Raw genomic sequence first — 14,473 nt, 5'->3', positions numbered from 1 at the left:
ACAGAAACCCAGAGAGGAGCAGAAATGCACAGAAGCCCAGAAAACACCTGAGGCCGGTGCGGTGCCTCTCCTGTAATCCCAGCACTTTGAGAGGCCGAGGCAGGAGGATCGCTTAAGGCCAGGAGTTCAAGACCAGCCTGGGCAACAGCGTGAAACGCTGTCTCTGGGAAAAAAAAAAAAAAAAAAAGAAGAAGAAGAAGAAGAAATTGAAAAAATCACCTGAGCTTTCTTTTTTTGTTGTTTGTTTTGTTTTGTTGAGACGGAGTCTCGTTCTGTCACCCAGGCTGGAGCACAGTGGTACGATCGCGGCTCACTGCAACCTCTGCCTCCCGGGTTTAAGCGATTCTCCTGCCTCAGCCTCCCGAGTAGCTGGGACTACAGGCTTGTGCCACCACGCCCGGCTAATTTTTTGTATTTTTAGTAGAGATGGGGTTTCACTATATTGGCCAGACTGCTCTTGAACTCCTGACCTTGCGATCTGCCCCCCTCTGCCTCCCAAAGTGCTGGGAGTACAGGTGTGAGCCCCCACACCTGGCCCCACACCTGAGCTTTCTTTAACCACCTTTCTTTCTCTCTTTTTCTCTTTCTTTTTCTTTCTCTCACTTTCTTTCTCTTTTTGTCTCTCTCTTTCTGTTTTTCTTTCTTCTTTTTTTGTTATGTTAGAGTCTTCTGAAATCTTTGTTTCTCTCTTTCTTTCTCTTTCTTCCTCTCTCTCCCTCTCCTTCCTTCCTTTCTTTTCTTTTTTCTTTCTTTCTTTCTTTTCCTTGCCTTGTGAATCAATTTCTCTCTCCCTCCCTCCCTCCCTCCTTTCTTCCTTTTTTTCTTTCTTTTTAAGATAGAGTCTTGCTCTGTCCCCCAGGCTGGAGTGCAGTGGTGTGATCATAGCTCACTGTAGCCTAGCCTCAACCTCCTGGGCTGAAGCAATTCTCCCACCTCAACTTCCTGAATAGCTGGGACCACAGGCGTGCTCCACCATACCCAGCTAATTTTTTTTTATTATTATTATTTTTGTAGAGACAGGGTCTCGCCATGTTGCCCAGGCTGGTATCAAACTCCTGGGTTGAAGGGATCCTGCTACTTTGGCCTCCCAATGCGCTGAGTTTACAGGCGTGAACCACTGCACATGGCCAAAAACAAAGTTTTTAAACAGTGCCTCAAATCTTATTGGAGTGGCACAATTCACACGCAAGATGCTAAGGAACAACAAGCAGAGGATAAAACCAAATGGTAGGAGGAGAGAGTGCTGGAGCAGGGAGGAGCCACGTGGTGTTCAGGGTAGGCATCCCTGAGAAGGGGTGTTACTGAATTACATCCGTAAACTTAAGTGTGTTAATCAGGACTTTATCTTTTGCAAATGACAGAAACTTGACTCAGTTGGCTTAAAGAAACTGAAATTTAAGCAGGGCACGATGACTCACACCTGTATCCCAGCACTTTGGGAGGCTGAGGCGGGTGGATCACCTGAGGTCAGGAGTTCAAGACCAGCCTGGCCAACATGGAGAAACCTCATCTCTACTAAAAATACAAAAATTATCCAGGGATGGTGGTAGGAGCCTGTAATCCCAGCTACTGGGGAGGCTGAGGCAGGAGAATCACTTGAACCCAGGAGGCGGAGGTTGCGGTGAGCCAAGATCGCGTCACTGCACTCCAGCCTGGGCAACAAGAGTGAAACTCCGTCTCAAAAAAAAAAAAAAAAAAACCCCATCTGTTATTTGTGATTTTCCTCAGTGCCCAGCCCAGCTCCTGCACATAGTAGGCCCTCAGCGATAGTTGGTTGGATTGAATTGTCAAACTGGATGACATATCCACTCTGTCATTCATTCCCTCATTCATTCATTCATTCAACAAGCAAAGCCTGAGCTCCTGCCATTCATCAGGCCCTGTGCCAGGCTCTGGGACACAATGTGGAATAAGGACAGGGCTTTGCCCCCCAGAAGCCTTTGGAATAATAACTTGCAGCTGAATTGCACGATTGTTTATGGTTTGTGGTTCATGAAGCTCTTTCACATATCCTGTCCCATGATCTTGATGTGTGGATGTTGTTGAAGAAATTCAGGAGGAAATTCTGAAGAAGTTCAGGATAAAGACTCTTGGGTGAGGCCATGCCGTAAGTCAGCAGCTGGACTCCCTTCCCAGTGCCCACTCCCTAGGAACAGGCTGCCCACTGTGCATCGGGCCTGAATCGCAGGACACTGCATGGAGCTCCTTCCCTCGTCCGGCTCAGAGTTTGGAAGGTGTCCTGCAGTGGCCCTGGCAGAGCCGGGATGTCATCCTTGGAGGAGTTGCTTGGGGCCGTGGGCCTGGGAAAGGCCTGACGTGTATCCTCTGCCTCCACCACAGGCCTGATAAGAAAGTGACCACAATCCCTTTTGGGCTACTTTCTTGGTCAAAAGAGGAACATAGTCTTGGGTGAAAAGGGAAGATATGGAGAGCACTGCAACTGAGCAACCTGGTCACCATGGAGGATGGGACAGAGCACTGTCAAGTCAGGGTCCCACCACCGGGTGTCTCAGCTCATGAGCTTCCCTCTCTAGTTGGGCTTTTCTGTTTAGTCCCTTCCTTCCCCACCCTACTCGCCCAACCTAACCATGTTTTGGTCAATCCTTTCCTTGTTAAAGTATCCTATTGAGGCCAGACACTGTGGCTTACGGCTGTAATCCCAGCACTTTGGGAGGCCGAGGCGGGTGGATCACCTGAGGTCAGGAGTTCAAGACCAGCCATGACCAACATGGTGAAACCTTGTCTCTACTAAAAATACAAAATTAGCTGAGTGTGCTGGCACACGCCTGTAATCCCACCTACTTGGGAGACTGAGGCAGGAGAATTGTCTGACTCCGGGAGGTGGAGGTTGCAGTGAGCCAAGATCGCAGCATTGCACTTCAGCCTGGGCAACAAGAGCAAAACTCCATCTCAATAAATAAATAAATAAAAATAAATAAACAAATAAATAATAAAGTAATCTATTGCTCAAGGCCCATGTGCAGGCCCACCCCTGGGGAAGGCCCCTGCACAGCTCAGCCCTCACTGACCCGCCTTGCACAGCTCAGCCCTCACTGACCCGCCTGCCTCCTGGGACCATAGCTGGTACTTGTTTTGCATTTGGGGATCCTAACTTGGTTTGAAGCAGAAGCAGATCAGAGACAAAAATTTGAGTACATGTGGTTGATTTGGACTGTGATCCCAGGCAACTTAGATAAGGGAGTGGGTGAGTGAGACAGAGAAGGGAAGCAGGAGCTATCTACCTAGTGAACGGGACCTCCCAGTTATTTGCCCAAGCGTTGAGCGAGCACAGGCTAAGTTGAGAGCTGCTCCCAAAGGGCATTACGTCCTCAGCACTTGCAGCCTCCTGAGCTCGAGTCGAGCCCTTCAGCAAAGTGTCACCGGTGCTGGCAGATGTAAGTCCCACCAGGGTTCAAAATACTGGAGTCCTAACAGTGCCGGCTTCTAGCCTAAGATTTTTTTTTTGCACAAAGGGTTTCACTGTGAAACATACATGTTTGAAAACCTATGTCGTAAGGCAACAACACCCATTTCGCAGACGTGCTAGTAGAATCCTAGAGGTGACAAGGGATTTGCCTCAGGCTTGCCAGCGAGTTAAGAAAAGAATCAAGAGTAGAAGCCAGAAACTAGGTCTGCAGTCTGGGTGTCCAGCACTTTTTTATTTTTTATTATTTATTTATCTATTTATTTTTTGAGACAGAGTTTTGCTCTTGTTGCCCAGGCTGGAGTGCAGTGGCACGATCTCGGCTCACTGCAACCTCCGCCTCCCAGGTTCAAGCGATTCTCCTGCCTCAGCCTCTCAAGTAGCTGGGATTACAGGCATGAGCCACCACACCTGGCTAATTTTGTATTTTTAGAAGAGAAGGGGTTTCTCCATGTTGGTCAGGCTGGTCTTGAACTCCCAACCTCAGGTGATCCGCCCACCTTGGCCCCCCAAAGTGCTGGGATTACAGGCGTGAGCCACTGCGCCCGGCCTATTTTTATTTTATTTTTATTTTTTTCAGCCTTGCTGAGGTTCTCTGCAAAGTGCTTTTTGGAGGAAAAAAAATTATTATTATTATTATTATTTTTTAATTTTTTTTTTTTTAGATGGAATCTCGCTCTGTCGCCCAGGCTGGAGTGCAGTGGCACGATCTCAGCTCACTGCAAACTCCGCCTCCTGGGTTCACACCATTCTCCTGCCTCAGCCTCCTGAGTAGCTGGGACTACAGGCACCTGCCACCACGCCCAGCTAATTTTTTGTATTTTTAGTAGAGACGCGGTTTCACTGTGTTAGCCAGGATGGTCGCTATCTCTTGACCTTGTGATCCGCCTGCCTCGGCCTCCCAAAGTGCTGGGATTACAGGCGTGAGCCACTGCGCCTGGCCCCTGGCTGATGCCCTCAAGAGCATCAACAATGCCAAAAAGAGAGGCAAACGCCAGGTGCTTATTAGGCCATGCTCCAAAGTCATCGTCCGATTTCTCACTGTGATGATAAAGCATGATTACACTGGCGAATTTGAAATCATTGATGGTCACAGAGCTGGGAAAATTGTTGTGACTGTCACAGGCAGGCTCAACAAGTGTGGAGTGATCAGCCCCAGATTTGATGTGCAACTCAAAGATCTAGAAAAATGGCAGAATAATCTGCTTCCATCCCGCCAGTTTGGTTTCATTGTACTGACAACCTCAGCTGGCATCATGGACCATGAAGAAGCAAGACAAAACCACACAGGAGGGAAAATCCTGGGATTCTTTTTCTAGGGATGTAATACACATATTTACAAATAAAATGCCTCATGGAAAAAAAATCTGTAGAGATAGGGTCTCATTATGTTTCTCAGGCTGGTCTCAGAATCCTGGTCTCAAGCAATCCTCCCACCTTGGCCTCCCAAAGCCCTGGCATTAGAGGCATGAGCCACCATGCCCAGCACTAAGCATTTCTCACAAACAACTTTAAGTCCTAGGAGGCAGGCACTATTATTTTCCCCACTTTACACATGAGGAAACTGAGGCTTCCAGCAGACACTTGACAGTTAGTGGTTCTGTGTAAGTCCCAACAGGAGACTTTTGGTTAGAATAATTCAAAGGTACATGGCTTCTGTTTTATCTCAAATTAAAAAATAATAACAGGCTGGGTGTGGTGGCTCATGCCTATAATTCCAGCACTTTGGGAGGCCGAGGCGGGTGGATCCCTTGAGGCCAGGAGCTTGAGACCTGCCTGGCCAACATGCTGAAACCCCGTCTCTGCTAAAAATACAAAAATTAGCCAGGTATGGTAGCTCACTCCTGTAATTCCAGCTACTCAGGAAGCTGAGGCAGGAGAATAGCTTGAACTCAGGAGGTGGAAGTTGCAGTGAACCAAGTTCTCACCACTGCACTATAGCCTGGGCAACAGAGCAAGACTCTCTCCAAATAAATAAATAAAAACAACACGTGAGAAAGGTCTGTTCAGTCCAAACGCCCAGCAACAGCTGTTCTGTTCTCCTTTGTACTCATTCTAGTCTGTCTGGAGGATTCTGCCTGGTGGCTCCTGTCAGAGTCTTCCCTGATCTCAGCAGAGCCCATGTTTTCTAGAAGAACACAGACACCAGTCTCTGTAACCAAACGACTTTTCTTTGGCTTCTGGGAATGTCCACTCCTTCATGTTTCCTCAGCTGCTCCTGGGAGTCCCTAGAGAAATTCCTCCGGCCAGTGGCTTTGTGAGACTTTAGTGGAACAGCTATTCCTATGTTTGCTCAGTCACAGTGGCATCCCATCTTCCAGGAGTCAAACTCCAGCTCGAGAGGGCTGCTCGCAAGAGTAACTCACTCATGGCTTTTTTTTTTTTTTTTTTTGAGACGGAGTATCGCTCTGTTGCCCAGGCTGGAGTGCAATGACGCTATCTCAGCTCACTGCAACCTTTGCCTCCCGGGTTCAAGCAATTCTCCTGCCCCAGACTCTCGAGTAGCTGGGATTATAGGCACCCACCACCACGCCAGGCTAATTTTTTTTTTTTTTTTTGAGGCGGAGTCTCATTCTGTCTCCCAGGCTGGAGTGCAGTGGTGCGATCTCGGCTCAGCCTCCCGAGTGGCTGGGACTACAGGCACCCGCCACCACGCCCAGCTAATTTTTTGTATTTTTAGTAGAGATGGGGTTTCACCATCTTGGCCAGGCTAGTCTCAAACTCCTGACCTCAGGTGATCCACCTGCCTCAGCCTCCCAAAGTGCTGGGATTATAGGCGTGAGGCACCGCACCTGGCCTGCTGGTCTCTGTTTAAAAAGTGAAAGAAAACAAAAGAAAGAAAGAAATCAGGCTGGGCACGGTGGCTCACGTGGCTGGGTGGGCTGCTCAGGCTGTCTGAGGTCCGGTTTGAGAGATCACAGACCCTAGGAGGTGACAGAGCCAGGGCACCAGAGGGGGCTCCCACGGAGCAGAGTCCTGGTCCTGCCTGCTGCCTTTTCTTGCCATTGCAGTTTGTGACATTCCAGAACACCCCCAGACATGTGGTTTTTGTATACAAGTCCTCGCGGCTAGCGTTTAGCAATGCACTTTCATCTCAGAGTAAACACATTTTCAGTTTTATTTTTGCTCCCGCCTTATCTCCCTGAGCCCCAGCTGAGGCCCTGAAAGGAGGGCAAAGGCTCTTCCCCAAACATTGGCCTTTTGTTAATGACTTTCATCCTGGTCACGTGGACTGAAGCAGCAGTCCTCCAGACATTTCTCTGGTCCTTTGAAAACAAGCAAGAGCCTGGGAAGGCAGGAGCACACACACCCAGCCCCAGCCCCTGGCTCCGGTTTAACGGAGGAAGAGAGGAATGGATGTGTGTGGGGTGCCCTTTCTCTTCTGTTCTTCTGTTCTTCCTTTTCTTTTTCTCTTTTTTTTTTTTTTTTTTTTTTTGAGAGAGAGTCTCGCTCTGTCACCCAGGCTGAAGTGCAGTGGTATGGTCTCGGCTCACTGCAACCTCTGCCTCCCGAGTTCAAGCTATTCTCCTGCCTCAGCCTCCCGAGAGGCTGGGACTACAGGCACCCGTCACCATGCCTGGCTAATTTTTTTATTTTCAGTAGAGATGATGGTTCACCAGGTTGGCCAGGCTGGTCTCGAACTCCTGACCTCGTGATCCACCCGCCTCAGCCTCCCAAAGTGCTGGGATTACAGGCTTGAGCCACAGCGCCCAGCCTAGCTAGTCCTTGATTTGGTTCAATGTGTGAGCCCCACCTCCAGAGTCGAGTCCCACCTCCTACATCAATCCCAGCGCTTTGGGAGACCGAGGAGTTTGAGACCAATGTAGGCAACATAGTGACACCCAGTCGCTATTTTTTTTTTTTTTTTTTGAGATGGAGTCTCACTCTGTCGCCCAGGCTGGTGTGCAGTGGCGCGATCTCCGCCTCCCGGTTCACGCCATTCTCCTGCCTCAGCCTCCCGAATAGCTGGGACTACAGGTGCCTGCCACCACGCCCGGCTAATTTTTTTTGTATTTTTAGTAGAGACGGGGTTTCACCGTGTTGGCCAGGATGGTCTCCATCTCCTGACCTCGTGATCCACCTGCCTCAGCCTCCCAAAGTGCTGGGATTACAGGCGTGAGCCACCGCGCCCGGCCCCCAGTCGCTATTAAAAAATAAAAGTACCAGGCCGGGCGCGGTGGCTCACGCCTGTAATCCCAGCACTTTGGGAGGCTGAGGCGGGTGGATCACAAGGTCAAGAGATTGAGACCAGCCTGGCCAACACGGTGAAACCCCGTCTCTACTAAAAATACAAAAATTAGCCAGACGTGGTGGCAGGCGCCTGTAGTACCAGCTAATCGGGAGGCTGAGGCAGGAGAATCGCTTGAACCCGGGAGGCAGAGGTTGCAGTGAGCCGAGATCGCGCCACTGCACTCCAGCCTGGTGACAGAGAGAGACTCCTTCTCAAAAATAAATAAATAAATAAAATAAAATAAAAGTACCAGCCTGGGCAACATGGCAAAACCCCATCTCTACAAGAAATACAAAAATTAGTGGGCATGGTGGTGCACACCCATGGTCCCAGCTACTCGGGAGGCTGAGGTGGGAGGATCACCTGAGCCTGGGAGGCCAAGGCTGCAGTGAGTCTTGATCATGACACTGTACTCCAGCCTGAGTGACAGAGTGAGACACTGTCTCAAAAAAAAAATTAATTAATTAAAATTAGAAAATAAAACAGGTAAAGTGGCCAGGTGCGGTGGTCATGCCTGAAATCCCAGCAATTTGGGAGGCTGAAGCGGGCAGATCACCTGAGGTCAGGAGTTTGAGACCAGCCTGGCCAACATGGTGAAACCCTGCCGCTACTAAAAATACAAAAATGAGTCGGGCGTGGTGGTGGGTGCCTGTAATTCCAGTTACTGGGGAGGCTGAGACAGCAGAACTGCTTGAATCCAGGAGGCAGAGGTAGCAGTGAGCCGAGATCGTGCCATTGTACTCCGGCCTGGGCAACAGAGTGAGACTCTGTCTCAAACAAAGAAAAAAACATGTAAAGTGCTTACGTGGTTCCCGGCACATGGCAGGCACTCAGCAGATATTGGCTGTGATTCCAGGCAGAACTCAGCCCCATGGGGAGTGGCCAAAGGAACACCAAGCGCCCTGGCTGAGACTTGAAAACACCTGGGCTAAACCTCAGCTCTGCCACTTCCTGTGTGGCCTTGGGCAAGTGACCTCATCTCTCTGAGCCATGGATTCCTCATCATTCCGAGATGATTATGCTTCCTCTGCTTATTTTTTGGGGACGAGATCAAATGAGAGCCTGGATGTCTACGATGCTGCTCTAGAACAGTGTCCTAGGCACCCCTTGCTGCCTGTGTCCCTGGCTTGTGAAAGGCAGAATCAGCATTTTGCACTCAACTTTTCCCCGCAGCCCCTCAATGGACACTTGGTGTCTGACCAGTGCTGCTCTGAATCCTGGCACTCTGTCCCCAGCTGTTTGATGTTGCAAGGGCAGAACCCCAACATGGGGGAACTGAAAGGGAATTTATTGGTTGGCAATAAATAATAATAATAAATAAAAGTCCAGGTGGAGCTGGGTGCAGGAGTCCAGATGATACTGTCAGGACTCTGTCCCTCAGCCCTGCTCTCCTCTGTGCAGGATTTATTTTCAGGCAGTTTCTCCCAACATGACGGCAAAGACCACCAGCTGCTCCATCCAGGTTCACATCAGGCCAATTAGCAACCTTAGGGGAAAGAGAGCATCTGGCCAGGCGAGGTGGCTCACTCCTGTAATCCCAGTACTTTGGGAAGCCGAGGCGGGTGGATCACCTGTTCAAGACCAGGTGAGGAGTTCAAGACCAGCCTGGCCAACATGGTGAAACCCCATCTCTACAAAAATACAAAAATTAGCCGGGCATGATGGTGGGTGCCTGTAATCCCAGCTACTCGGGAGCCTGAGGTGGAAGAATTGCTCGAACCCAGGAGGCAGAGGTTGCAGTGAGGCTGAGATCGTGCCATTGCACTCCAGCCTGGGTGATAGAGCAAGGCTCCATCTCAAAAGAAAAAAAAGAAATCTTGGCCAGGCACAGTGGCTCACATCTGTAATCCCAGCACTTTGGGAGGCCGAGGTGAGCAAATCATGAGGTCAGGAGTTCAAGACCGGCCTGGCCAACATAGTGAAACCACATCTCTACTAAAAATACAAAAACTAGCCAGGCGTGGTGGCGGGCACCTGTAGTCCCAGCTACTCGGGAGGCTGAGGCAGGAGAATCGCTTGAACCTGGGAGGCGCAGGTTGCAGTGAGCCAAGATCGCACCACTGCACTCCAGCCCAGGCAACAGTGTGAGACTCTGTATCAAAAAAAAAAAAAAGAAAAGAAAAGAAAACAAAAGAAAAGAAAAGAAAAGAAAAGAAAAAAGACCGGGTGTGGTGGTTCACACCTATAGTCCTAGCACTTTGGGAGGCCGAGGAGGATGGATCACCTAAGGTCAGGAGCTTGAGACCAGCCTCACCAACATGGAGAAACCCTGTCTCTACTAAAAATACAAAATTAGCCAGGCGTGGTGGTGCATGCCTGTAAACCCGGCTACTCAGGAAGCTGAGGCAAGAGAATCGCTTGAACCCAGGAGGCGGAGGTTGCAGTGAGCAGAGATCGCACGATTGCACTCCAGCCTGGGCAACAAGAGTGAAACTCTGTCTCAAAAAAAAAAAAAAAAAAAAAAAAAGAAAGAAAAAAAAGAAAAGAAAAAAAGAAAGAAAGAGAGCTTCTTTCTCTAACTTGTTCCAGCAAATAGCCTGGGGCTACTTCCATCTCTGGACTTGATCGCAAGACCATCCTGGAACATACTCCTGGGATCCTGATTGGTTAGGCCGAAGTCATGTGCCCACTCCAGACTTGAGAAAAAGGATCGGCCCAGCTTGACTCATGGGAGTTGAGTATGGGAGGCTGGTGACTCCCCAAAGGGAAAGGGGACATGCTGTTGTCAGGAGACGGGTATGACACTGGGTGGGCAGAGGCAACAGGTGACAGCTACAGGTGTTATGAGCCCTGGCCAGGAAGCTGGGATTGTGATCCAAGCTCTATCATTTACTCTCTTCGTGGCCTTGAGGAAGTCACTGACCCTTTCTGAGCTTTGGTTTTCTCATCTGTAAAAGAGAGTTTGACTCTATCACTGGGTCCCAAACCAAGCTGTTGCTAAAATCGCCTGGTGAGCTTTTAAAAATGTAAATTCAGCCAGGTGTGGTGGCTCACATCTGTAATCCTAGCACTCTGGGAGGCCCATGCAGGAGGATCCCTCAAGCCTAGGAGTTCAAGACCAGCCTCGGCAACATAGTGAGACCTCTCCTCTACGAAAAAAAAAAAAAAAAAGTAAATTCTCTGGTCCCATCCTAGACATTTTGATTCAGCTGGTCTGGGGTAGGACCAAGGACTCTGCATTTTTGACAACAACCCCAGAGGATTCTGATTGTTTGTTGTTGTGTTTTTCTTCTTTTCTTTTTTTTTTTAAGATGATCACTCCGTTGCCCAAGCTGGAGTGCAGTGGTGCGATCTCGGCTCACTGCAACCTCTGCTTCCTGGACTCAAGCGATTATCCTGCCTCAGCCTCCCGAGTAGCTGGGATTACAGGCGCCTGCCACCATGCCTGGCTAATTTTTTGTATTTTTAGTAGAGACGGGGTTTCACCATGTTGGCCAGGCTGGTCTCGAACTCCTGACCTCAGGTGATCTGCCCACCTCGGCCTCCCAAAGTGCTGGCATTACAGGCATAAGCCACAGTGCCCAGCCTGATGTGATTTTAATTTTGGAGTTCACTGGCTGAGATGGTTCCCAAGGTCCTTCCCACTCTAATGGCCTCTAATTCTGGAGTCAATCAATGTTGGCTGAAAGGCTGAGCAGAAAGATCCCGACTGTTGGCCGGGTGCAGTGGCCTGTAATCCCAGCACTTTGGGAGGCCGAGGCAGGTGGATCACTTGAGGTCACAAGTTTGAGACCAACCATGGCTATCATGGCAAAACCCTGTCTCTATTAAAAATAAAAAAAATTCACCGGGCATGGTGGTACTTGCCTGTAATCCCAGCTACTTAGGAGGCTGAGACAAGAGGATCACTTAACTAAGGAGGTGGAGGTTGCAGTGAGCTGAGATCAAGTCACTGCACTCCAGCCTGGGCGACAGAGCGAAACTCCATCTCGAAAAAAAAAAAAAGATCTCAATTGAGACAAGCAGACCACAGTGCTCACGAAATGCCCAGCCCTGCCCTGTATCCTTTCTTTTTTTTCTTTTTTTGAGGAGGAGTCTTGCTCTGTCGCCCAGGCTGGAGTGCAGTGGCATGATCTTGGCTCACTGCAAGCTCCGCCTCCCAGGTTCATGCCATTCTCCTGCCTCAGCCTCCCAAGTAGTAGCTGGGACTACAGGTGCCCGCCACCATACCCGGCTAATTTTTTGTATTTTTAGTAGAGATGGGGTTTCACTGTGTTAGCCAGGATAGTCTCGATCTCCTGACCTCGTGATCCGCCTGCCTCGGCCTCCCCAAGTGCTGGGATTACAGGCGTGAGCCACTGCGCTCAGCTTTTTTTTTTTTTTTTTTTTTGAGACAGAGTCTCACTCTGTCACCAGGCTGGAGTGGAATGGCGAGATCTCGGCTCACTGCAACCTCTGCCTCCCGGGTTCAAGCGATTCTCCTGCCTCAGCCTCCCAAGTAGCTGGGACTACAGGCGCCTGCAACCACCCCGGCTGATTTTTGTATATTTAGTAGAGATGGTTTTTTGCCATGTTGGCCAGGCTGGTTTTGAACTCCTGACCTCAGGTGATCCACCAGCCTCTGCCTCCAAGAGTGCTGGCATTACAGGCATGAGGCACTGTGCCTGGCCCCTGTAGATCCTTTCATGGGTGGGCCTGTGGCTAGGTCTGGCTAATGATATGGCAGTGAAAGTGACATATGTCACTTCCAGGATGAGGTAGTTAAAAGCCTATACCCCAGATGTCAGTCTCTCTCTCGCCTGCCTTGATGAATGATTTGTACAGCAGCCCTGTACTGCAGGGGCACTTGCCACACGCAGCGAAGACGTGATGGTGGGCACAGCAGAGAAAGTGGGCTTGGGCCTTGGCATTCTCCCACCCCTCCTTTCTCCAGCTGGATGAGAGTCTGCAATGAAGAATGGTGGGGGTCAGGATCAGACTGTGGGCCCCAGAGGAGGAAGAACAGGAAGGCTGTCCAAGGCCAGAGGCATCCTAGGACAGCTGGAGAAGTCTCACAGTGGATTGGCAGGATGGCCCGGGGCTACGCCAACCCCATGTAAGGCATTAAGGTGAGGGGAGAGCTATTGCTCCTTAATGAGGTGTTCGTCCTCATCAAGGTTGAAGGGCAAGTCCACTGGGGAGGAGTGACTCACCCAGCGTCCCTGGATACCTCTGATGCTGAGGGAACTCCAGCCCGAGGGCTTCCAAACCGAGGTCATTTCCCTCCATAGACCATGACTTCAGAGCGGCTTTGAGAATGCTGACAGCAATGAGTGGCCACTCCATTCAGAGGTGACCCTTGTTAGGGTTTGGACATTTTCCCCATTGATCTTAGGAAAAACCATGACTCTGGTTTTCCATGGTAAATTCTAGCATGTAGACAACAGGGTAAACTTTGCATTTGGGCTTCTCCTTACCCCAGGGGAGGAGGCCTTGACCTATGAAGTTGAAAAATAATTTCTTTTTTTTTTTTTTCTTTTGAGACAGAGTTTCGCTCTTATTGCCCAGGCTGGAGTGCAATGGCACGATCTCAGCTCACCACAACCTCCGCCTCCCGGGTTCAAGCAATGCTCCCGCCTCGGCCTTCCAAGTAGCTGAGATTACAGGCGCACACCACCACGCCCAGCTAATTTTTGTATTTTTAGTAGAGACGGGGTTTCACCATGTTGGTTAGGCTGGTCTCGAACTCCTGACCTCGTGATCCGCTCGCCTCGGCCTCCCAAAGTGCTGGGATTACAGGCATAAGCCACCATGCCCGGCTGAAAAATAATTTCAGATTATATATTTTTATTACTTTTTTTTTTGAGATGGAGTCTTCCTCTGTCGCCAGGCTGGAGTGTGGTGGCACGATCTCAACTCACTGCAACCTCCACTTCCCGGGTTCAAGCGATTCCCCTGCCTCAGCCTCCCGAGTAGTTGGGACTACAGGTACACACCACCATGCCCGACTAATTTTTGTATTTTTAGTAGAGACGGGGTTTCACCCTGTTGGCCAAGATGGTCTCGATCTTCTGACCTTGTGATCCGCCCACCTCGGCCTCCCAAAGTGCTGGGATTACAGGTGTGAGCCACTGTGCCCAGCCTTTTTATTACTTATTATGTTTTAAATAATGTATTACATTTCAATTTAAATTCTATATCTCTAAAAAGAATATATATATGTATGTATATATGTGATGTGTGTGTGCGTGTGTGTATATATATATGTATTTTGAGACAAGGTCTCACTCTCACTCAGACTGGTGTGCAGGGGTGTGATTATAGCTCACTGCAGCCTCCAACTCCCAGGCTCAAGCGATCCTCCCACCTCAGCCTCCCAAGTAGCTGGGACTACAGGTGCATGCCACCATGCCCAGCTAATTTTTAAAAAATTTTTTGGTAGAGACAAGGTCTTGCTTTGTTGCCCAGGCTAGGTAAAAAAGAATATATTCTCATAATACCAATTCAGCAGGTGAAATCATCCGTCCAAGGTCACACAGTAAATAAAAGGCCCAGCCAGGGCCAAGGTCATGCTTTTTCCAGTGTGCTGGCTGCCTCACCATACCACTAACTAACATTGGTGTAATGTTTTTCTGTTTATAAACGTGTCATAAGTCATTTACAACTCATGACAATCCTATGTGGCAGGCAGGGCAAACAATATCGTATCCAGAAGACAGCTGATGAGATGAAACCAGCTTCCAGGAGGTGCCATGGTTCTGCTACCACACGTGGCCTGGCTTTGTGCCAAGTGCTTTGAAAACCTTAACTCAGGCTGGGCACAGTGGCTCACACTTGTAATCCCAGTACTTTGTGGGGCTCAGGTGGGAGGATTGCTTCAACCCAGGAGTTCAAGACCA

At 49.5% G+C, this 14,473-nt stretch overlaps 1 pseudogene, besides 2 other annotated features; it reads left to right on the top strand.

Moving 5' to 3' along the window:
• On the top strand, nucleotides 4,285-4,783 carry RPS15AP38 (ribosomal protein S15a pseudogene 38; annotated as a pseudogene).
• Nucleotides 8,469-8,518: a silencer, noted in NCBI's record as "silent region_13668". NCBI's record gives its function as "represses an Ori minimal core promoter by ATAC-STARR-seq in GM12878 lymphoblastoid cells {active_cell/tissue: GM12878}" and the evidence as "EXISTENCE:reporter gene assay evidence [ECO:0000049][PMID:35858748]".
• Nucleotides 12,506-13,006: an enhancer, noted in NCBI's record as "H3K4me1 hESC enhancer chr22:36809052-36809552 (GRCh37/hg19 assembly coordinates)". NCBI's record gives its function as "activates a minimal SCP1, AML or CMV promoter by ChIP-STARR-seq in naive H9 embryonic stem cells {active_cell/tissue: H9 hESC(naive)}" and the evidence as "EXISTENCE:reporter gene assay evidence [ECO:0000049][PMID:30033119]".

Source organism: Homo sapiens, chromosome 22, assembly GCF_000001405.40.
Source record: "Homo sapiens chromosome 22, GRCh38.p14 Primary Assembly".
In the NCBI taxonomy this organism is placed as follows: Eukaryota; Metazoa; Chordata; class Mammalia; order Primates; family Hominidae; genus Homo; species Homo sapiens.
The sequence above is the reverse complement of the archived record's forward strand: the minus strand, read 5'-3'. Positions and strand labels throughout refer to the sequence as shown.